The sequence below is a fragment of the Homo sapiens genome, chromosome 9 (genome assembly GCF_000001405.40).
Source record: "Homo sapiens chromosome 9, GRCh38.p14 Primary Assembly".
NCBI lineage: Eukaryota > Metazoa > Chordata > Mammalia > Primates > Hominidae > Homo > Homo sapiens.
This window is the reverse complement of record NC_000009.12, coordinates 114,078,878-114,102,442: the sequence shown is the minus strand read 5'-3', so window position 1 is coordinate 114,102,442 and position 23,565 is coordinate 114,078,878. Positions and strand designations below refer to the sequence as shown.

Here is a 23,565-nt window from a genome sequence, read left to right as displayed (position 1 = left end):
GTGCAGTGGTGCCATCTTGACTCACTGCAACTTCTGACTCCCAGGTTCAAGTGGTTCTTCTGACTCAGCCTCCTGAGTAGCTGGGATTACAGGCCTGTGCCACCATGCCTGGCTAATTTTGTATTTTTAGTAGAGACAGGATTTCACCACGTTGGTCAGGCTGGTCTCAAACTCCTGATCTCGTGATTTGCCCACTTCGGCCTCCCAAAGTGTTGGGATTATAGGCATGAGCCACTGCACCCAGCCACCTTTATGATCTTTTGTCTCCCACTCTTCCCTTGCTAACTGTGTTCCAACCACCCTGGCCTTCTTCCATTCCTTGAACACACACTGGTCATACTCCACCTCAGGACCTTTGCATCGGACAATTCTTCTGCCTAGGATAATCTTCCCCCAAATATTTGCATGACTAACTCACATTCGTCCTTGAAGTCTTTCCTCAAAAGTCACCTTCTCAATGAGGTATTCCATGACTATACTATATAAACAACAACCTGTTCGCCATCGCCAACACTGAGTGATACTATTTCCGTAGCACTTTTCAGCTTTTAACATACTATGTAAGTTATTTATATGCTTATTTTTATTATCTGCCTTTCCCACCTCACTAGAGGGTAAGCTCCATAAGGGCAAGAATTTTTATCTGTTTTGTTCACTAATGTATGCATCTCAAGTGCCTAGAAACCTGCCTGACACCTAGAGGAGGCTTAATAAAAACTTGCTCATGACTGTTCAATTTAAGGGTAGCAGATGTTTGCACTCACTGTTAGAGAACAGAACCAGGACTTTGCTCCTGCATTTGTGATTCAAAGGACATCAAATCATGTACACATTCTGACCCAGGTTGGGAAGCCTGGTGCACAAGCCCCCACTGACCAGCATGCAACATATCCCCTGTTTCTGCACTTTTATCAAAATCCTTTCAAGGTTGGGCATGGTGGCTCATGCCTGTAATCCCAGCACTTTGGGAGGTTGAGGTGGGTGGATCACCTGAGGTCAAGAGTTTGAGACCAGCCTGGCCAACATGGTGAAACCCTCCCTGTCTTTACTAAAAATACTAAAGTTAGCTGGGCGTAGTGGTGAGTACCTATAATCCCAGCTACTTGGGAGGCTGAGGCAGGAGAATCACTTGGATCCAGAAGGTGGAGGTTGCAGTGAGCCAGGATCGCAACATTGCATTCCAGCCTGGGTGATAAGAGAGAAACTGCATCTCCAAAACAAAACAAAACAAAACAAAAAAAACAAAAATCCCTTCAGCGTGGCTCATCTCAGTCCAGCCTGAGGAGGGCCAGCAATCTGACTAAACCAATGCACACTAAGATGCTAGTGATTGATAGTCTTTAACACTTTCAACAGCTTTTAAAGGAGCACCTTGTTCATTTACTGGGTTTACTCCTGACAAAAGCAACTTGCCATAGCAAGCAGCATCAGGATGTACAGCTCATAGTTCTGGGTTTAAACTCTCAGTTCTGCCATTTGTTGTTTTCTCCTTAGATAACTTTCCCTGCCTTTCGCTGTTTAGTTCAGTTTTTTTTCCTCTGAAAAACAGGGATAGTAATTTTTGTCTTATCCACCTCAAGGACTCAAAAAATAGATTAAGGAACTTCAGAGTTGAAAGGGAACTTAGAGATCATCTAGGAATTTTTATTTTTGTTTTTAGGTAATTATTTACAACTTTCACTTTCAATGACACATCTCATTGAAATCTCAGAACAACTATGTCAAATAGGAGAGAAGTCATTAATCTCTTTTTACAGGAAGGAAACAAGAGAAGCCAAGACTGTGGCAAGTTAGTGGCAGAGCTGGGGGCAGTGGTTATTAGTTCTACAGAACTTTCCCTGTGGCCCCTGCTAGAGGGTCCTATAACCAAAAGGTCAAATGGCTCTTTCTTATACATCTCCATTGCCTGGGGAGCTCACTGCCATCCAAGACAGCCCATTCTCCAGCAGGGTGGCTTTGATAGTTGGCTGTAATTTGTGGTGGTATAGAATGTGTCACATTGAGAAAAAGTGATTTTTAGGGCTTTCACCCTAATGTGTGTTTGGGGGCCGGAGAGTTTGCAGAAATATTCAGAGAACATACAAAGACAGCCAGAATGACAATAATAATAACAATGCCAACCTGATGGTGTCACATCCCTGTTTATAACCCTTCAATGGCTTCCTGGTTCCCTGAAGAGTGAGTCCAGACTCCTTGATGTGCCCACCATAAGCTAGATCCAGCCTCAAACTACCTCTCCATGCCACACTCATCTCCCCACCCCACCCTGGCCATCCTGACTCCTGTTTGCTTTGCCTGGAATACCCTCACCTCCTCCCCACCCCCACTGGCTCCTACAGGCCTCTGTACTCCCCCTAAAGGCCCTACACGCTGCTGGGTTGTACTTATCCATCTCCCCAGACACACTGTGAGCTGGGAAGGGTCAGGGGCTGCATGGGGTTCCTCTGCCCTGGTGCCCAGCATGGAGACTGGTACAGAATAAGTGATTGCCCCATCCCTGCACATTCACAGACATCTCTGCTGTTCTCATAAGCCAGACCAGGAGAGGGTTAAACAATCATGCTGGCCTAGGATTAACTTTGGCATTAGAGAGGCAGGTGCCCCAGTGTTTTACCAGATGCTTGGAAACCTGTTCTCAGGTCAGCTCAGAGATTCAATCCAGCCAGGTCGTCCCTAGAGCTGACTGAGACCTGTGCCACTCCTTGGGCCCTGAGCTGAGCTGCTGGGGGTGGGAGTGGGGGGTATGTGGAGAGGGTGGGAAAAGCTTGGTCCTGTGCAGGCTAGCTCTGTGGCCTTGGTTGAGTCCTTCCTATCTGCTTAGGTATCCCCAACTGGGCACAAAGGAGGCCGGTCTGGGTGGTCCCACGGGTTCCTCTTGTGAGGACTGGCCAAGAGCAAGGGATCCTCAGACTCCAGAACCCCCTAGCTAGGGGTCCCCTAGCTTGGGAGAGACTTTCTCCACCGCAGGGGTGAGGAAGGGTAAATCTTTAACGAGCTAGCCCTGGGCAGCTGGAGTCTTTCCGGATGGATGGCTGCCTGGGATGGGGGATGGGGTGGGAATGCAAGATGTGTGTAGACAGTCCCAGTGTTGTGGAGAAGGGAGGGTATTGGTGGGGGGTAAATAAAGGAGACGCGGGCGGAGCTAACTCCGTGTGCAGAGCAGGACATGGAAGAACGCGGGTCACCCGACGGGTAAGCAGATCTTCAGACAGGTTCGAGGAGTCCTGAACAGCCGCTAGGTGCAGGTATGATAAGTCGCATTGCTGCCCACAGGGATCTCGCGCGGAGCCTGGAGCAAGGGCCAGAGGGGCCGGAAACGCCCATCCAGGTGGTGCTCAGGTGGGTATAAATTGGCTAGGAGGCACCTGGGCGAGACAAGGATCGAGGAAGACATCAGGATGTACCATCTGCCCTTCTGTCGGACCCCAGGGTACGTCCCATGAGCGCGGCCGAGCTGCGTCGAGGGCAGCAGAGCGTGCTGCACTGCTCAGGGACCCGGACTCTGCAGGTGAGGAACCCCTCTCTCTATCTCCCCAATAAAAAATCCCGGGGACGCCAGATCCCTTCCCCCAGGCAACTTTGCCCTAGGCCCCGCGCTCCCCCGGAGTGGTCCTCTCCCAGGTGCCCCGCCCTCCCCAGAGTGCCCCTCCCTTCCAGGATGCCCAGCCCTCCGCCAGGGTGCGCCGCGCCAACCCCTGCGAGTGCCCCGCCCCTTCTGAGTGCCCGCCCACCCAAGGTGCCCGCCCCCCCCAGAATGCCCCGCCCCTCCAGGGTGTCCTACCCTCCCCAGAATGCCCCGGCCCTAGTGAGTGTCCCCCACCCCACCCCCAACCCAGGGTGCTCGCCCACCGAGTGCCTCACCGAGCGCCCTACCCTTCTCCAGGGTGCCCCGCCCTCCTCCAGAGTGCCCCGCCCTCCTCCCGCGTGCCCCGCCCTCCTCCACGGTGCCCCGCCCCTCCAGGGTGCCCCGCCCTCCTCCAGAGTGCCCCGCTCCTCCGCCCCACCCGCGCCAGGTGAGTCCTCCAGGCGGGGGTCCAGAAGTGGCGTTCCGCTTCGGTGCGGTGCTAGACGCGGCGCGCACGCAGGAGGACGTGTTCCGGGCGTGCGGCGTGCGGCGCCTGGGGGAGCTGGCGCTGCGCGGGTGAGTGAAGCTTCGCCTCCGCTCCGCGCCGGGCCTGGCGGGGCCCCGAAGCACCCCCAGCCCCCACCCCGGGTAGCCGCCGGAGTCCAGCCACGCCCTTGCCGCCCGCAGTTTCTCCTGCACTGTTTTCACCTTTGGCCAGACGGGCTCTGGGAAGACCTACACCCTGACTGGACCCCCTCCCCAGGTGAGCGAGCGCCGGCGGCGCCCCCGCGGGGCGGGGCTGGGTGGGCTGGAAGCCCTGGGGAGCCGCAGGCGGCGCAGACTCCCAGAGGGAAGGGGCTGGGACGACGCCGCCTGACCCGCTTGTTTGCAGACGAGGACGCTGAGGACCAAAGAGAAGGGACTTGCCCAATTTGGAGCATTTGGGCTTCAACTTTGGCCCCTTCCTAGCTCTCAGTTTTCTCATCTGTAAAATGGAAGTGACAGTACCGACTATGAATTAAATGAGCCATTGTTTGGGAACTTGGCACGTTTCCCGGCGCACGGTATCATACATGCGCTACAGAGGGTAGTTATTACTGTGGAGATGACGATGGCTCAGCTGGTTTTGCCCCTAGGGGGAGGGGGTGCCTGTACCCCCCAGCCTGGCTGGCATCATGCAGAGGACCTTCGCCTGGCTGTTGGACCGCGTGCAGCACCTGGGTGCCCCTGTCACCCTTCGCGCCTCTTATCTGGAGATCTACAATGAGCAGGTAAGGGAATGAGAGGAATAGAAAGACAGCCCATGAGGAAACGGAGCGCTTCTTTCCAGGGAGCCTGGATCAAAGGACAGAAGAGGCGGTGGGGACTGTTGTCAGTAAGATCTGGGGATGGGTGGACTCAGAAAGATCCCCTTCCCTCACCCTCCTCCCTCCCCTCCCAGGTTCGGGACTTGCTGAGCCTGGGGTCTCCCCGGCCCCTCCCTGTTCGCTGGAACAAGACTCGGGGCTTCTATGTGGAGCAGCTGCGGGTGGTGGAATTTGGGAGTCTGGAGGCCCTGATGGAACTTTTGCAAACGGGTGTGTGCTGACAGCGGGGAGTTTTGCGGGTAGGGGTGCCCATTCCTCAGTTGTTCACTGAGTGTGGACTTGGGGCCCAGACTGCAGCTGCAGCTTCAGAAATGATTCCTGGGGGAGGTGGGGAAGGACCAGTAAACCACAATTCAAAGGCATGGCCCAAGGGCCTCCCCGCACTGCCAACAAGGCCTGCTAATTCTGCCTTCCAAACTCCTTTCACACCCTCTCCTCTCTAGCCCAGGGCCTCGGCCTCCGCCAGGACTCATTCTTGCTCCCTGGTGGTCTCTGCACCTCAAGGCTCTCCCCTGCCCATCCATTCTCCTCTATGCTGCAAACCCCATCTCTCTTTGCCTCCAGACCCTCCACCCTTCCAGGGCCCTGAGGATCAAGGTCATACCTCTTAGCCTAGCCTAAAGGCCCTTTCAGCCTCATTCTTTTTTTTAAATCAAGTATTTATTGGGCACCCCTCCTTTGGCAGGCACTGGAGATGCTGACTGTGGATTCTGGCCCCAGCACTGTGCCACACCTCTCAGCTGATCTCCTGCCTCAGTTTCTCCCCTTCCTTTCACGAAGCAGTGGGAGAGATGTTTATAAAATGCAAATCTGACTGTCATTCTTCTGCTCAGTTTTCTCTATCCTCCATCCACCCATCTCTGCTAGAGCAGGGCCCAACATCCCATCGTTCCCTGAACAACACCCACTCTGTTGCCTCCCTGCCTTTGCATGAGGCTGACCCTTCCGCCAGGATTCCTTTGCTCCTTTTTCTTCATTGATGATGACCTGTTCTTCCTACCAGGTCCAGCTCCTGATGTTTTTCCCTTCCAGGTCTCAGCCGTCGAAGGAACTCAGCCCACACCCTGAACCAGGCCTCCAGCCGAAGCCATGCCCTGCTCACCCTTTACATCAGCCGTCAAACTGTGAGTGCTCCAGCCTGGGAAGGTGCTTACCCGGGGCCACCAAGCAAGGGTCTGTATCTGGACATATAAACCAACTTGGGTGTGCATGGGGGTTAATAATGGAAACTCTTGGTCCCATAACCTTGTGGCTTTGATGGGGACGGTCCCTCCCAAGTCCCCATGAAGCTCTGATCCCTCAGGCCCAGCAGATGCCTTCTGTGGACCCTGGGGAGCCCCCTGTTGGTGGGAAGCTGTGCTTTGTGGACCTGGCAGGCAGTGAGAAGGTAGCAGCCACGGGATCCCGTGGGGAGCTGATGCTTGAGGCTAACAGCATCAACCGAAGCCTGCTGGCCCTGGGTGAGACCTGGGGGCCACCGGTGTGATTTCCTGTCTCTCCTCTGTGCCTGGCTCACAGCTCTCCACAGTGGGGGATACCAGAGGAGTTGTAGTAAATAGAAGAGGGTTAAAGAGCTGCGATCCAGGAACCAAAGGCCCCATTCTGGCCCCAGCTCTGCTGTTGACTTCTCCCTTCGTAAAACACTGCTTATGAATGTATAAACTCTAAGGGTGTATAAAGTTCCATGCTAATTTGGGAAATAGAACCACTCAACTGCAGAAGATGAACCCTCAGAGACATTTGGCATGTCCCTTGTGCAGTTGGGAAGACTGAGGCCTAGTAAGGGGAAGGGACTTGAGCTTTCTCCCCAACCCCACCCCAGGGTATTGGACCTGGAGATCCTCAGGGGCTGTGCCCTCAGTATTCCTCTGTGGCATGCATGTGAGATGCCCGCGAAACTCCTTTGTGTACAATCCATTTGTTAGAAGTTTCCTTCTGAGTGCCTGAGTACCAGGCACTTTGCTGGGCATTGAGGGTCAGGGTATACAGGGCCTTCTCTGCCCTCAAAGAGTCCCAGTCTGGTGGTGGAGACCAATCTGACTGAGTCATGAGATCATGTGGAAAGATGGGTTTTTAGGGCAACACAGGCCTGGGTGGAGAGCCCAACTCTGCAGCATCCCAGCCTGATGGCCCTAGGCAAGTGATGTAACCTTCCTAACTCTTGCTCTCCCTCCCCAGGTCACTGCATCTCCCTGCTGCTGGACCCACAGCGGAAGCAGAGCCACATCCCTTTCCGGGACAGCAAGCTCACCAAGTTGCTGGCAGACTCACTGGGAGGGCGCGGGGTCACCCTCATGGTACTTAAGCGGGGCCTGGCAGGGAAGGTTGGGTCTTGAGGAAGGGGCCCTCAGAGAGGAGCGCTCAGGGGGAGTGCACTCCCCAGGTGGCCTGCGTGTCCCCCTCAGCCCAGTGCCTTCCTGAGACTCTCAGCACCCTGCGATATGCAAGCCGAGCTCAGCGGGTCACCACCCGACCACAGGCCCCCAAGGTGAGTATAGGCAGGCACAAGCTGAGGGACAGGCGTGGAGATGCTGGGGGATCAGGCAGGAGTTGGAGCCTGAGTCCCTTGATTGAAGTCTTGGACTGGGTCAAAGTTGGGATTAGGGTTGGAATCCTGGAATCGGTATCATGGTTGTATAGGATGGGGTCAGGGTCCCAGCCAGGGTCATGCCAGGTTTAGGGCAGGTCTAGGGTTGGAGTTTGAGTTGGGATATGATTCAGGGTCTAGCTCAGTTAGTATCATGGTTAAGTGGGAGTTGATGTGGGGCCTAATGTGGGGTCTCGTTTGGAACCATTATCTGGCCCAAGGTTTGGACAGAACTGAGTTTGGGATTGGACTCACAGCTGAGTCCAGCTCAGAGTGGGGCCCTCCAGGACAGTGCACTTAGGACAAGGTGCCCCTTCCAGGCAGATACAGCCTTGTGCCAAGATGCAAGGCTGACGAATGAAGCATGGGCTGGATTTTAGGCCCCAGTTACTTCCCACACCCGGAAGTTCTTGTGCAGTGCACGACTTATACAACCATAAAGGTGGCTCTGGGCCTCTTTCCCTACAGTCTCCTGTGGCAAAGCAGCCCCAGCGTTTGGAGACAGAGATGCTGCAGCTCCAGGAGGAGAACCGTCGCCTGCAGTTCCAGCTGGACCAAATGGACTGCAAGGGTATGGGCTTCCTGGAGGCAGAGTAGGATGGGGATAGGGTCTGGGGCTCCTGTGGATCCACCACCTCCTGCTTCCCTGCAGCCTCAGGGCTCAGTGGAGCCCGGGTGGCCTGGGCCCAGCGGAACCTGTACGGGATGCTACAGGAGTTCATGCTAGAGAATGAGAGGCTCAGGTAGGGCACAGCCCACAGCCAGAGGGATGCTGCTCCCCACCCATCACTGCTAGGCTGCTTCTGGCAAACTGCCTCCTCTCCCTGCCCCTGGCTCCCTTATGTCCCCACCTGCTTCCTGAACTGGTGCTATGCTGCAATGAGGAGGAGCTGACTGATGCCCCACCCCAGCCCCATTTCCTACCCCTTCCTGGCTTGTGATCTCCCCTAGGAAAGAAAAGAGCCAGCTGCAGAATAGCCGAGACCTGGCCCAGAATGAGCAGCGCATCCTGGCCCAGCAGGTCCATGCACTAGAGAGGTAAGCAGAGCCACCAGCTTGGAGCCAGGCCTCTGGACAGAGGGCAGCTGGGAAAAGGGATGGCTTAATGAACTGCTTGAGGCTGGCCTCTGGATTCAGACCAACTAGGTTCAGTTTCCAGCTCTGCCACCTACTAGCTGTGTCACCTGGGGCAAGTCATTTAACTTCTCACTGCCTGGGTTTCCTCTTCTGTAAGATGGGGTTCATCGTCGTGCCTACTTATAGGCTTGTTTTAAAAATCAGAGAGAATAAGTTAACATGTAAAACTTTGAGAATGGGGCCCGGTACCTGGTACGGGATCCAGGAGTATTAGCTGGGAAGGGGATTTGAAAGCCAGCTTGGTGGTAGGGTTGGAGGCTGCAGGCATAGACCCTGCTGTTCTTTCTAGGCGTCTCCTCTCTGCCTGCTACCATCACCAGCAGGGTCCTGGCCTGACCCCACCGTGTCCCTGCTTGATGGCCCCAGCTCCCCCTTGCCATGTGAGTCTCACGGCCCAGCCTGGAGGGGTGACAAGTAGGGATGTCATGGAGCCTCTGACGCACCTTTTTGCAGGCACTGCCACCCCTCTACTCCTGCCCCTGCTGCCACATCTGCCCACTGTGTCGAGTGCCCCTGGCCCACTGGGCCTGCCTGCCAGGGGAGCACCACCTGCCCCAGGTAGGAAAGGCCATGGTGGGAGTGAGGGAAGGCTGGGAGAACTGGAGACCTTGATCCAGGAGTCATCAATCCAGAGCCCCAGGGATTCCAGGGCTGCAGGCTAGATCATGGGGAGTGAATGGCTGGCCTAGGGCTCCCTCTGCCCTGGTTTGAAATAGCTGTTTGCCTCACCCTCCCCCCTCCTCACCCTGCCCTGTCAGGGCCAGGAATTCATTCTGTCATTCACTTATTCATTCACTCACATATCTACTCACTTATGGATTTACTGAATCATACATTCACTTACTCCTTCAGTAACTCCCCAAGCTCCTTGCTTTATACCAGCCTCTCTTCTGGGCTCTGAGGAGTCAGAAATAGACCAGACGTGGTTCCTGCTCTCAGGAGGCTTCTAGTCTCAGGAGAGGACGGTAGAAGAACCATCTGCTGCACACAGAAGGCGACCAAGACCCCACCCCTTTATGCCATCCTGACATTCTTGGTACCTTGTGGGGTAGGCATGGTGGGGTGTCATGGCTAGCACCAGGTAGGTGGGACACAGAGAGGCAGGACTGAGGTCACCCAGAGTGGACTCTGGTCTTTCCTACAGGTGTTGGACCCTGAGGCCTCAGGTGGCAGGCCCCCATCTGCCCGGCCCCCACCCTGGGCACCCCCATGCAGCCCTGGCTCTGCCAAGTGCCCAAGAGAGAGGTGGGTCTCTCCTGGGGCACTGAGGTCAGAGAGGGGTGGTCTGGGGAACTCAAAGGCTCACCTCCCATCTCCCAACTCACCCTGGCCCAGGAGTCACAGTGACTGGACTCAGACCCGAGTCCTGGCAGAGATGTTGACGGAGGAGGAGGTGGTACCTTCTGCACCTCCCCTGCCTGTGAGGCCCCCGAAGACATCACCAGGGCTCAGAGGTGAAGAAGGGAGAGAGGGAGGGGCCCCTAATGTTCTCTGTGATCTTGGGGTAGAACCCACCCTCTCCAGGCCTCAGTCTTATCTCTGAAATGGGGTGGGTGTTGAGAGGTGGCTTCTAAGATCTTTCTACTTCCCAAACTTGGAATTCTCTTTTTAGGAGCATCTGCGTGCCCAGATGTATGTTGGAGCCCATGGTGTATGGGGGTGGGGTGGGGGGAAGGGTGGAGGGTACCTACCCCCTGAGGCTTCTCCAGAGGGTGTTGGGACCCAGATGGACCTGGGTGAGGAAGGGCCCTGGAGAGGGCAGGCCTCGAGTCTCACTGCTCCTTAGGTGGGGCCGGGGTTCCAAACCTGGCCCAGAGACTGGAGGCCCTCAGAGACCAGATTGGCAGCTCCCTGCGACGTGGCCGCAGCCAGCCACCCTGCAGTGAGGGCGCACGGAGCCCAGGCCAAGTCCTCCCTCCCCATTGAAGGCCAAGTGGGAACCCAGGAGACTGCTGTGTGACCTCAGACTGGGCTCCACACTCTTGGGCTTCAGTCTGCCCATCTGCTGAATGGAGACAGCAGCTGCTACTCCACCTGCAGCTGGGCTAGGGGCGGGGACTGGGGGTGCTATTTAGGGGAACAAGGGGATTCAGGAGAAACCAGGCAGCAGGGGATGAAATACATGAATAAAGAGAGGCATCAGCTCCAAGTCTGGTTGGTTCTATCCTCTGGGGTTATCAGTTATTTCCCCGTGGGAAATTAGAGGGAGGAAGGGCTAGGACTCTTGGCACAGATGTGTGTCCCCTTCCAGTCTGGAATATCCCAAGCTTCCATCTCCCATCTCCTTTCATGGTTTTTTGTTTTGTTTTGTTTTGTTTTTTTGAGACGGAGTCTAGCTTTGTCACCAGGCTGGAGTGCAGTGATGCAATCTCAGCTCACTGCAACCTCCGCCTCCTGGGTTCAAGCGATTCTCCTGCCTCAGCCGCCCAAGTAGCTGGGATTACAGGCACACGCCACCACGCCCAGCTAATTTTTGTATTTTTTTTTTTTTTTTTAGTAGAGATGGGGTTTCACTATGTTACCCAGGATGGTCTCGATCTCCTGACCTTGTGATCCACCTGCCTCGGCCTCCCAAAGTGCTGGGATTCTAGGCGTGAGCCAGCCTCCTTTCACATATTATACAAGTTTTGATTAAGCAACTGCTATATGCCATTGGGTAGGCGGTGGGGGAGTTGAATGGCAAGCATCTCCATGAAGGAGGCATGAGGGAAACTGATTTGGCCTGGAGCACAGGGAGATGGGTGGTCAAGGGGCTCACTCTGTGTCACTATGGGTCCTGGCGCTGGTGGGGATCAGGAGGCCTGGCTTCTTGTGCCACAGATCTACGCTAGGACTCTGGGCAAGTCCTGTTCCCTCTCTGGACCACTCTGGTTTTCAGTCAATTAAGTGGGGGACACAGTTTCCTTCCCACTGAGTTCTAGTGAGGGTCAAGGCTGTGAGCAATATCTGATTCATGGCATAAGTGCCCAGTAAAATGCTGTATTAGTCTGTTCTCAGCACTGCTGTAAAGAACTACCTGAGACTGGGGCATTTATGAAGAAAAGTGGTTTGACTCACAGCCCTGCAGTCTGTATAGGAAGCATGACTGGGAGGCCTCAGGAAACTTACAATCATGGCAGAAGGGCGAAGGGGAAGCAAGCACATCTTACCATGGCGGAGCAGGAGAGAGAGAGAATGAAGGGGGAAGTGCTACACACTTTCAAACAACCAGATCTCGTGAAAACTCACTACCATAAGAACAGTAAGGGGGAAATCTTCCCCCATGATCCAATCACCTCCCACCAGGTCCCTCCCCCAATATTAGAGATTATAATTCAACATGAGATTTGGGTGGGGACACAGAGCCAAACCATATCAGATACAGTGGGTCTGTGGTTATGGAGAAGTCCAGTATGACATGAGGAATTACGGGAAGCAGAGAGAGGACCCATTATAGAAAGAGCTATGAGGCTAACCTAACTCTTCACTTATAGTTAGGGAAACAGACCCACATCATTTATTCATTTGTTCATTCATTCATTCAACAAACAACACTGATGGCTGGGTGCCTGTAATCCCAACACTTTGGGAGGCCAAGGTAGGAGGATTGCTTGAGCCCAGGAGTTCAGGACCAGGCTGGGAAACAGTAAGATCCTGTCTCTACAAAAAATAAAAAATTAGCTGGGCATGGCGGCACACACCTATAGTCCCAGCTACTCAGGGGGCTGAGGCAGATCACTTGAAAACAAGTGGCTGAGGCTGCAGTGAGCCATGATCACACCACTGCACTCCAGCCTTGAAAAACAACAAAGCAAAAACACTGGCATCAACTGCAAATCAAGCTAAAAGGTGACAATGGAGACAAGGGCCAAGGTGGCTTTTCCAGGGAGCTCAGAGTCTGGTGGGGGACAGACAGGCATTTACAACCTCACAGGGGCTGGGGGAAGCCCAAGGGACTGTGGAGGCACAAAGGAAGGTCACTTGATCAGTGATCATTGAGGGGGTCAGAGAAGGTTTCCCAAGGAGGCCATGACTAAGGCTTGTAGGAAGGTAGACAGCATTGGGTTCAAGGGAAGGTGGAGGGGCTGTGGACACAAAGGCTACAGACCCCTGAGGTTCCAGAGCTTGTCGGGGCCAGGAAGTGCAGGGCCTTCCAGGTCACAGCCAGAGTTTGGGCTTGTGCCAAGGGCAGAGGGGAGCCATGGAAGGGTCTTAAGGCATCACCAGCCTAGATTCGTATTTAGGTCACGCTGGCCACCTGTGGGAGGTGGCCTGACTGGCAAGGATGAGCTGGAGTTGGGGGACTATAAAGAGACCAGCACAGAGGAGATGAGACACCTCAGCCAGTAGTACCTGAGCTGGGCCTTGGGCTGGGCATCCCCTCAGACCCATGCCCTGGACTTAGGCAAGGTCCGGGCAGGCCAGCCTTAGCCACAGGCTTGGGGAGCCCTTGGGAGGCAGCAGACTGAGGCCAGAGGACCAGTCAGGGAGCAGCTGGGGTTGCTGGAGGGAGGTCACAGCCATCATCTGGAACAGAACTCAGACTGGCCACTGTGCTCCTCAGACCTGGCCTGAGGAAATCAGGATCCCTTTACCCCACCACACTCCCCGGCGCAGGACCAAGCAAGGAAAGACTCAGTGCTCTCCTTCCCATCATTCTGGAAACTAGCTTTGGGAATGTGCCCCCTTTTTCCCAGTGGCATGAGGACCCAAAGATAAGAGCAAGGTGTCTCAAGGATGCTTGAGTGTGCTGTGTGACTTGGGGCAGGCTGCTGGGCCTCTCTGGGTCTCCCCCACTGCAGGTCCTTGGCTCCTGAGTCTATGCAGGGCTGGTTCCTGAAGCTGGGACTGGTGGGGTCCATTGCGGTTGGAGCCCCCGTGGGCAGGAATTGTTAGACCACACTTGTGACTGGACATTAGAGGTTTTCAACAGTGGTGGCTTCCTGGAAGGCCAGAATCTGTGGAGGCAGAGCCCAGGGACAGAAGGTGACAGCCAGATACCACAGGCAACTGGACCAGGCAGAGCAGGCTGTGGTTAAGCCACAGACGGAGCCACCCAAGCTCAAACCCATGAGTGATCCTGGGCTAGTGACTCAACTGCTCTGAGCCCAAGTCACTTATACCCAGAATGAACGCAATAAGAGTACCCCCTTACAAAACTGTCTTGCGAATGAAATTCCCTGACACGTGGAAAGAGTGGAGCATGTAGCTTTGCCAGTTGCAGACAGTTTCGCCAAAAGCAACCTTTAGTCAACATGACGATTTGATGGAATTGACAATCAGGTTAAAAAAAATTCATTCAATATATATTGATCAGAATTATTTAGAACAGAGCCTGGCACGTGGTTAGTGCTAAATACATGCTAGTTGTCGTTGCTGTTATTATTATTCATGGATGCTTTCAGTGCAAACATTCTATGAGAACCTGCTTTCTATGGGCTAGCACTGAATAAAGCATAGGACTTTTACCCTCATGGAACACAGACAATAAACGAGAAAGAGGGCAAAATACGTGGCATGTCAGATGGTGATAATGCTATGGAGTAAAATAGAGCAGGAGAGTAGAGCTCTGTCAGGGCAGGGGTGCAGTCCTAAGCAGGGAGTTCCGTCGGAGGTGATGTTTGTACAGAGACCTGAACAGGGAGGTTGAGCCTGATGAGTGCCCTAAAGCCTTTATTTTCTAATATTGGTAATTTCAATGCCACGTTAGCTTGGGTGGCTCTGCAGGTTCCTGCCTGGGCTCCTCCCCACTCCCCAGAACCCTTATTTCACTGCATTGTGGGCTTGCTTGCTGGGAGGTCCTCAGCCCCAGGCAGGGGAGGCCCTGGCACCAAGCATGAGAGTGTGAGAGCTTTCCTTAATCGCCTTGGGAGGATGGAGGGGGACCACCCAGGGGGACCCTGGCCTCACTGGTTCATTCATGTTTGGATGATTCCCGCTGGAGCCAGCCACGATTTTCCAGTTTCCTGGTTCCAGTTCACACTCCAGCTCGGCAAAACCCCACATCCTTTTCCAGAGAGAGTCGTAGGACTCGAGGAGACTGGCCTTCACTACCCTTGTCTCATAAGTCATGCATCCATCTCTCAGTCAGTGACATAGTTTGGCTGTGTCCCCACCCAAATCTCATCTTGAATTGTAGCTCCTATAATTCCTTTGTATTGTGGGAGGGACCTGGTGGGAGGTAATTGAATCATGGGGCTGGGGTTTTTCCCGTGTTGTTCTCGTGATAGTGAATAAGTCTCACAAGATCTGATGGTTTTATAAAGGGCAGTTTCCCTGCACATGCTCTCTTGCCTGTCACCACGTAAGACGGGCCTTTGCTTCTTATTCACCTTTTGCCATGATTGTGAGACCTCCCCAGCCATGTGGAACTGTGAGTCCATTAAACCTCTTTTTCTTTATAAATCACTCAGTCCTGGGTATGTCTTTATTAGCAGCATGAGAACAGACTAATACAGTCAGCATCCTCCCTCTAGAACTGCCATAATTCTAGGATCCCTAAACCCTGAGGGAATTCCAAAGGATCCCAGTAATGTATCAAGACCCTTCAAATTCATTTGGTACTTACCGAGAACTTGTGGACTCAGAAGGACACTTCTGGAGCCCTGCAATCTACAGGCCTTCTGCAGATTGCTGGAACCTGGGGGCAGTTCTCTAGACCCCGAAACATGGTAGTAGTTCTCAAGAACTGTCAAAAGAAAGTCTCTGCTACTTCGGAACATTAGAATTGGGGGAAGCTCTTGGAAATCCTGAGACACTACAGGAATTTTCCAGGATTCCAAACCCCTAGAAGATCTTTCTGAAATTTTAAAACACTGTAGACAAGTCGGGAGGGATTCTCTGGAATCTTTGGCTGGGCAGGGATGTAGTGGGTAAGGGACATTCACCAGAGTTCTGAAGGCCACCCATGGGTTTCTAGAGTGCTGGCTGCCCAGATCCTTGGTTGAGTTTTCCAGATCCTTGGGGATCCCAACTCTCAGCCCCCTCTCATTGCACGATGAGGAGCATGGCAGAAAGCGTTGCAGTTGGATGGCACAAGCTTCTAGAAGAGCACTCCTGTGGACACTTGTACATAAAAGGCTGTGAGGCCTTGTCTGGGGGGCCAACTCCCAGATGGACCCCAAAACTTGGAGTCGTTATGAGAGTTTGTGAAGACCCTCTTGCCAAGAACATCCTGTTGCTTCAGCCATACCAGCCTTCTCTCAGCATCCCAAATGGGCCTGCTTTCCCTCCCACAAGGTCTTTCTTCTCTTTGCCTAATGACACATTTGCTCCAAATTCATATTCATTTCCAGCCCGTTTCTGATAGGATTCAGCCCCTTCATGGCATATTCTGTGTCCTCTTCAATGTCCTTTTTCCATTTCTATCTTCTTGTTTAGCATCCAGCGACTCATCTTCCTTTATTTTAGGCAAACAAGCATGGCAGGGCAGGTCGGGCAAGTAGGCGTGGTCTTGTTATGAACCACAGACTGGAAGCTACTGGAACTTGTAGATGGGTTAGTGCTGGGGTTGGAGACCATGACTGGAATCTGGAGACCTGGGTTCAAAGCCTGCCTTGACACAGACCTCTTGTGTATGTCAGACAAGTCCCTGGCTGTCACTGGCATCTACACGGGCCGGCAAAGAAGACCTTTGAGAGGACTTTTTTGAAAGTTGGGCAGACGTGTCTTTCTCAAGAACCCTCATCCAGTGTGTGGCTCTCCTGATTATCACATGTTCACCAAGCCCCTACTTGGAGGCCAGGCCGCCTCTGCTGGATACAAGTGACAGCAGCCTGACCCTGGGCCACTGCCCTCTTCTCAAGAAGCTTCCAACCAAGTGGGGGAAAGGACAAGCAAAGTGACAATCAGGAGGCAAGGGAACAAATAATAGCAATTAGCAAGTTTCTCTGGTGCCAGGCACTGCTCCCAGCGCTTGCCATGTGTTAGCTCGCTCATTTCTCACAACTCTGAGAAGTAGGTACTGTCAGTATTGTCATGTTGCAGTGAGGAAACCAAGGCAGGAAGGGCCTCAGAACTTGCCCAAGGTCACGCAGCCAGTGGGTGGCAGAAGCGGGATTTGAACCTGGCTGGCCTCAACCACCATGCCAGGTGCCACCCAGTGGGACCACAGAGGAAGGACAGGTAGAGGATCAGCTTCTGTCCAACTTAGGAACCCCTGAGGATAGTTGGGGTGCCTTCCTAGAGACATTGTTCTCCACCAAAGCCCGGCACGATCCAGCAAGGCCAGACCACGCAGAGGCACTTTGACGAGGCAGAGGAAGGGACTTTCTCAACCTCCCCGCCGGTGGTGGATCCTTCACCACCCCAATACCAAAGGGATTCTCTAAAAACTACCCGGTGCCTGAGCTGGAATCTAGACAATTAGAAGTGCAGCCCTGCAGCCCAGTCTTTCTCCATGGGGCAGGGCCCTGGGTGGAGGCAGGACATCTCTGTGGTCTCCAGGCTACAGAACTTTGGGCAAACCCTCTCCCTTTCTCACCCTCTGTCTGCCCAACATACCAGCTGTGGGAGGCTGGGCAAAAGAGTGAATCTCTTTGAACCCCAGTTTCCTCCTCTGTAAAGTGGGGATAAAATTGGTTTACCCTATGAGGAGTTAATACATGCTCACAGGGGATGATGTGAGAACTAGAAGTGAATTCGTATAAACTGTTCAGAACAGAGCCTGGCACATGGTTAGTGCTAAATAAATGCTAGTTGTTATTGCTGTTATTATTACTAACGGATGCTTTCAGCACAAACATTCTATCATTACTTGCGGGGGAGGAATTGTGTCAACTTCTGGACTCTCATTACTACAGACTCATGAACTTGTTGACATCCAGCTCGGCTGGCTCCTTCCTCCAGGGAGACCCTCCTAACACAGATTCTTCCAGGGAAAGGAGTGGAAAGAAGTACTCTGTCGCCCAAGGGCAAGAGCCAGGGAAGAGTTCCCACTGCCCTTCCAAGGCAACTGATTCAGAGAAATCCATTTGTCTTCACTGAAGAAAGGCCGGTGGGAATTTCCAGAGAGCTCAGCTTGCCTCGTGGTTTCAGGAAAGAGCAATTTTAGTCCTTCCAGAGATGCTGGGTTGCATCAACTCGGTCAGCCAGGAGTTGGGGCAGGTTCCTGGAGGTCCTGCTTCAATGGACAATAAGATTGGCCTGCAACAAGCAGGAATATGCCTGCGTCCCCTTCCTGGACACAGACAAGGCCTTTGGAAGTTTATTCTTTGGTAACCCTTTCCTCAGGGGTGCAAAAGGAGCTAGATCCTGGGCCACAAGCTCTGTCCCCAGGGCGCTCTGATCTCAAAGACACTCTGAGCTCCAAAGATTATAAGGGCAGGAGTGCTTCTCCAGGCTAAGCCACCCACTCCTGCAATCAGGAACCTGGATTGACAACATCTAAGGGCACCCCGACCCAGGGCCAACGTTTATTATTGACTAAGCTCTCTCCAAGGAGCAAGGACATGACATGCTTCTCATCATTTAATTCTCATACACCGCTATGAGCTCTTATTAACCCCATTTAACAGAAGAGAAAGAAAGGTGAAGTCACTTAGCTAAGATCAAACAGGCAGGAAAGGGTTGCAGTCATGACTAGAACCCAGGTCTGTCTGGATATAAAGTTCAGCAGCTTAATCATCACAGCATGTTGGACAATGCCTTGGGTGTACTCCAGGCCATAATACACAGACAAACTCAAATTTGATGACTCGAAGACAAGCCACCACAGAGCAAGGGGTCTTTGCTTTATAAATTTTGCCATTGAGAGCCCAGTCATTCCTTCCTTTGCTCATTCATTGGACATAAGGTTAAGGGGTTTTGGATGTGGTGAGTCCAATTTCCCAGTCTCCCTCAGCTGTCTTCTGCGTGGGTGGTCCTTCTTGGGATCCGACCTAAATCTCCCCCATGGTTCTGAGTAAGTCAGTCAGCACTGTTGGCTGAGCGCCTATTATGCACCCAGCACAGTGCTGGGCCCCAAGGAGGGAGAGAAGGTCTGGACTTGATATAGCAGACGCTGAGGTGACCCTTGGCTGGGGAAGGGAGAAATAGGCCTGACTTCGGCTGTGAAGAGTCCAATGAAGGGAGACTCATCAGCTCCAAGTGTCTAAAGAACGTGGCCTAAGATCTAGCCAAGAGACAAGAGATAGGGTCAGCAGAGTGCCTTAAGTGTTAACAGAGACAGATCTTGGTTTGAATTTAATGTCTGGGTGACCTTCAACGCATGATCACCTGATGTCTTAGCTTCAGTTTCCCTACCTGCAAAATAGGGCTACCAGCATAATAAGATTATTTTTTTCTTCAACTTTTTTTTTAAGTTCTGAGGTACATGTGCAGATCTGCAGGTTTGCCACATAGGTAAACAGGCACAATGATTGTTTGCTGCACAGATATACCCATCACCTAGGTATTAAGCCCAGCATCCATTAGCTCTTCTTCCTGATCCTCTCCCTCCCCACCACCCCACAAAAAGATCCTTTTTTTTTTTTTTTGAGATGGAGTTTCACTCTTGTTGCCCAGACTGGAGTGCAATGGAGTGATCTTGGCTCACTGCAACCTCCGCCTCCTGGGTTGAAATGATTCTTCTGCCTCAGGCTCCCGAGTAGCTGGGATTACAGTCGTGCGCGACCACGCCCAGCTAATTTTGTATTTTTAGTAGAGATGGGAGTTTCACTATGTTGGCCAGGCTGGTCTCCAACTCCTGACCTCAGGTGATCCGCCCCCTTCAGCCTCCCAAAGTGCTGGGATTACAGGCCTGAGCCACTCCACTCCAAAAAGATTCTTAATAGAGGATTTAGAACGACATGCTCTTGTAGTGCTCTGCGTGGACTTGGCAGACAGTAAGAACTTAGTACAGTTATAGTAGCCTTCGTGGTCTGCAACAACTGCACCCAATTCTGGTTCCCCAGCAAAACTATTTTTTTTAAGGGCCCCAACCAAGCATCAAGCTCTCTAGCAGGGTAGGGATGGGCAAGGTAGACGCTAAATGTTTTACACTCACCAGGGGATTTTAAGTAGGCTTGGGGCAAGGAAGCCTGGACACGAGCCCGCATTGTAGCTCTTTGAGCCTTTGCTCCTGGCCTCTGTCTCCATCTGTACAGAACAATCTGTGAGCAAACTCCGGTGGTTCTTTCGGGAAGTTCTCTGCTGCCCCCTGGTGGACAAGGGAAGTTCACACCTTAGTGCAGTTGCAGCTATGTATGGAGTCCTTAGCTGGAGCACATGCGGTACCAAGCGCCCATGATGACAGGGGTCCTACGTATCTACACACTTGGGGTGCATTTTCACAAGTGACCCTCATTCAGTTATTATGTCAGCTCTGAAGCCATGGAGGGAAATGACTGCCCCATTGTCCCGCAGCAAGCCACAAGGACTAGGACTCAAGTCTCTGGGTGGACTTGCTCTTTGGGTTGGAGGTGTAGGGATGAGTAACAATGCCTAGAAATCACAGGGCAGTGAGAACACCCCTCCACATCACCAGTCATGGAGTTATGGGTGCTGTGCACCTCCAGCTATGCCATGAGGACCCTGAGTGGACAGGCTGTGGCACGAGGCCATGGAAATTGAGCAAGGTCAGACATTGGAGGCAAGGCCTCCTGTCACGGAGAAAGTCACCTTATCATTCCACCATTGGCAGAGGAGGACTCAAAGGTTGACCACACCCTCTGGTCTGACTCCCAGTCAATGTCCCTGATGTCCCTGTGGGTCCAGTCACTGGGTCCTAGTGCCCTGGCCCGGCCCCTTCCTTCTTCCTGGAAAATCTCCTAAGGAGTTGCTTTCCTGGGTCTCCAGCTTACGTTACCTCCTGATTGATCTCTCCCGATTACTAATCTGGTTGACCTTGACTTCTGAAAACCCACCAGTGCCCCTGTGCACTCCCAAGCAACACCCCTTGGGACGGCAACACGATCCCACCTACTGGACCTCAGCCACCTCCCCAGCCTCACTCTCACCACTCCCTTCTGTCCCCAAGCTCCAGACCTGTGGATTTATTTGTATTTTTTGGATAAAAATAAAAATAATTTTCTATTTTCTTCCCTAAGCCTTTGCAATTGCTGTTCCCTGTGCATGGAACCCACTCCCCTCCCCCATGCACCCATCCCACTGCACTGTTGTCTAGCTCACTCCTACTCTTGGAGTCTGACTCCCCTGTCCCGGCCTCTGCTTCCCTGATCACTGCAGCAACCATCCTGTCTTATCACCTTCTCACCTCGTCTGTTCCCCAACCCCAGGCCTCAAGGGAGCTCTGGGAGGCCTGTCATATGCCCATCCTGTCCTCAGCACCAAGCATGGAGTGTGTATTTGGCAAAAGAACAAGTAGACACAAGAATAAATGATGAGGGGAGAGCCTGGGTGCCACAGTCAGGCCTATCTGGCCCCGACTCGGCCACACACTGGGTGACCTTGACCAAGTCCCATCCCCTCCCTGAGCCCCAGTATGTGCATCTGAAAATCGAGGCCTCTATTCCACATTGCACTGGGTACCCCTGAGGCTCTGAGGCCTCCTGTGAGGGGCAAGACCCTCCCCCACAACCAAATGGTTTCAGAACCTAGCAATTCCCATGGACTCTTAGACCCCTGGGCCCCCTAGGAGGGCAGGGACCCCAGAGCCTCCATCCTCCCACCCCAGCAGCCAGAAGGGGAGGAGGGGGCAGCAGCTGTCTGACCACTGTTGGTCTTGCAACTTGTGTCCCCAGGTTAATTTTTAAAAAGCAGTCAAAAGTCCAAGTGGCCCTTGGCAGCATTTACTCTCTCTGTTTGCTCTGGTTAATAATCTCAGGAGCACAAACATTCCTGGAGGCAGGAGAAGAAATCAACATCCTGGACTTATCCTCTGGGCCTCTCCCCACCCCCAGGAGAGGCTGTGCAACTGAATGAACAGCCCTGTCCAAGAGAGGCTAGGACTGGGGCTTCTCCACCCCTGCGCGTCTCAGGCTTCCCATCTGGACCATGGGGTTGATAACTGTAGTCACGCAGGCCCAACATGAAGGTCAGCGAGCCATCTTGGTGCACTGTAAGCGGGCTTAGTAGGATGATTTTATTCCTATTAATGATTCATTGTTATTTATTTATTCTTATACCAGGCCTGCCTCCTCCAATGGCAGACACCCCTGAGCCACCACACAGGTAAGGCAGTGGACAGTTTACAGTTCACTTCCTCACACATTGTCTCTCTTGGCCTCTTGACAGACAGAACAAGAACTGTTTTCTTCCGTTCACAGATACGGAAAGTGGTCTTTAGCGAGGGAAAGCCACCTCCAATATCATGCAGAACAAGGAGAAGTTGGGGGCTACCACCTCCTCATTACCATCATTAACTAAAACATCAAAGATTGAGAAACTTTGTGAACACAAGGAACACGAAGATAACTGTCCCAGAAAGCTAAACCAAGACAGTAACTGTGCTTAAACTTACATCATGGCTTTGAGCTTCCTAGCAGCCAAAGCAAGAAGGGAATATAATCACTGGCCAAGGTTAGGGTGACGGAGCAAAGGAAACACATTTATGAATAGAAGCACACTTGTTCTGGATACCAGTGAAAGAGGGATGTACTGACTGAATCTTACAGAAGGGACATGATACACCATTTGTTTCTGCACTGACTACATGGGGGAATCCTTTGATTCTCACATAAGCAGGGGTCTTAATCTTGGGACTGCCTGCCCGAAGGGGTCATTCCCAGCTCTAACAGAGAGGTGGCTGAGAGTATGGAATGTTCCATGCCAAGAGCAGGGAGGAAGTAAGGACAGTAGATTTAACCACTGGAGAAGGGAAATTCATAGAGAGGCCTTTGGTATTGCTGGCAAGAGTGTGAGCTCACAGACAACGGACCTGGGTTTTAAAAAATTCTCATTTAAAATCTTAAATTTAGGCTGAGCGCAGTGGCTTACGCCTGTAATCCCAGCACTTTGGGAGGCTGAGGTGAGAGGATCACCTGAGGTCAGGAGTTAGAGACCAGTCTGGCCAATATGGTGAAACGCTGTCTCTACTAAAAATACAAAAATTAGCCAGGCATGGTGGTGGGCACCTGTAATCTCAGCTACTCGGGAGGCTGAGGCACAAGAATCACTTCAGCCCAGAATGTGGAGGTTGCAGTGAGCCGAGATCGCACCACTGCACTCCAGCCTGGGCGACAAGAGTGAAACTCCGTCTCAAAATAATAAATAAATAAATAAAACCTTAAGTTTAATAACTACTGTATTAGTTTCCTAGGGCTGCTAGGAAATGTGTCTTCTCTCAGCACTGGAGGTCAGACACCTGAGACCAAATTTTCAGCAGAGCCATGTTCCCTTTGAAGATTCTGGGGAAAAGTCCTTCCTTGCCTTTTGCTAGCTTTTGGTGGCTGCCATCAATCCTTGGTGATTTTTGACGTGTCACTGCATCCCTCCCATCTCTGCCTTCGGCGTCACGCCACATCTTCCCCGTGCTTCTCTCTGTGTCCCTGTGTCTGAGTCTCCCTCACCATTCTCTTATAAAGATACCGGTCATTGGATTTAAAACCCCTGTCATCCAGTTCAACCTCATCTAACTAATCACATCTGCAAATCAGGTTCATTCTGCGGTTCGGGGTGCACATGGATTCTGGAGGGGGCACTGTTCAACCCACCACAAACACTCAGCTCTTACTCTATGCTGGGTACTGTCCTAGCGCATTGCAGGTGCTCACTCAACAATGCTAGGAGCTAGGAACTATTATTATCCCCATTTACAGATGAGGAAACCAAGGCACTGAAAGGTAAAGTGACTTGCCCAAGGTCACACAGCAGTGAGTGCCACTGTAGGCTGCCTGGCTCCCACGTCCATGGTCTCTACCACGCCTTTCCCAGCTACTCCACTCCCGGCTGAGGGATTCTGGGCAAGTCACTTCACTTCTTGGAGACTCAACTCCTCTGCCTGTAAAGGGGACAAATAGCACCTACTTCGTAAGCTTGTTGTGGGGATTTAC

The 23,565-nt window shown here is 52.7% G+C and overlaps 1 protein-coding gene and 2 long non-coding RNA genes across 12 annotated transcripts, besides 1 other annotated feature; 2 read left to right on the top strand and 1 right to left on the bottom strand.

Moving 5' to 3' along the window:
• On the bottom strand, positions 1,624-4,088 carry LOC124902251 (uncharacterized). Its single transcript, XR_007061740.1, has 2 exons — positions 4,005-4,088; positions 1,624-3,365 (listed from the first exon to the last, which is right to left on the bottom strand). It is a non-coding gene; the product is annotated as an uncharacterized LOC124902251 (long non-coding RNA).
• Positions 2,827-3,362: an enhancer, noted in NCBI's record as "H3K4me1 hESC enhancer chr9:116861361-116861896 (GRCh37/hg19 assembly coordinates)". NCBI's record gives its function as "activates a minimal SCP1, AML or CMV promoter by ChIP-STARR-seq in naive H9 embryonic stem cells {active_cell/tissue: H9 hESC(naive)}" and the evidence as "EXISTENCE:reporter gene assay evidence [ECO:0000049][PMID:30033119]".
• KIF12 (kinesin family member 12) lies at positions 3,151-10,805 on the top strand. Of its 10 annotated transcripts, none has more exons than XM_005251683.6 (20): positions 3,151-3,192; positions 3,274-3,339; positions 3,430-3,508; positions 4,014-4,141; positions 4,253-4,328; positions 4,702-4,836; positions 5,007-5,142; positions 5,965-6,056; positions 6,236-6,392; positions 7,111-7,229; positions 7,316-7,420; positions 7,988-8,090; positions 8,172-8,262; positions 8,471-8,557; positions 8,946-9,036; positions 9,110-9,214; positions 9,801-9,901; positions 9,992-10,110; positions 10,269-10,288; positions 10,443-10,805. In XM_005251683.6, the coding sequence occupies exons 1-20, from the start codon at positions 3,167-3,169 to the stop codon at positions 10,614-10,616; spliced, it is 2,010 nt and encodes a 669-aa protein (XP_005251740.1). In that variant the 5' UTR covers positions 3,151-3,166; the 3' UTR covers positions 10,617-10,805. The 10 variants fall into 10 exon arrangements, 8 of the variants coding, with proteins under 8 accessions (XP_005251740.1, XP_047278665.1, NP_001375237.1 ...); XM_047422709.1 differs by having other exon boundaries at positions 3,982-4,141; NM_001388308.1 differs by lacking the exon at positions 10,269-10,288.
• LOC107987120 (uncharacterized) lies at positions 21,374-22,503 on the top strand. Its single transcript, XR_001746905.1, has 3 exons — positions 21,374-21,608; positions 21,703-21,745; positions 21,841-22,503. It is a non-coding gene; the product is annotated as an uncharacterized LOC107987120 (long non-coding RNA).
• Positions 22,504-23,565: the final 1,062 nt, after the last annotated feature.

What these genes read in the sequence shown, in the direction of transcription:
- KIF12 (XM_005251683.6), top strand. Translation starts at nt 3,167, where the DNA reads ATGGAAGAACGCGGGTCACCCGACGG. An exon ending in CCGAAGCCTGCTGGCCCTGG is followed by an intron (nt 6,393 to 7,110) that starts GTGAGACCTGGG and finishes CTCCCTCCCCAG; the next exon opens with GTCACTGCATCTCCCTGCTG. An exon ending in GGACCAAATGGACTGCAAGG is followed by an intron (nt 8,091 to 8,171) that starts GTATGGGCTTCC and finishes GCTTCCCTGCAG; the next exon opens with CCTCAGGGCTCAGTGGAGCC.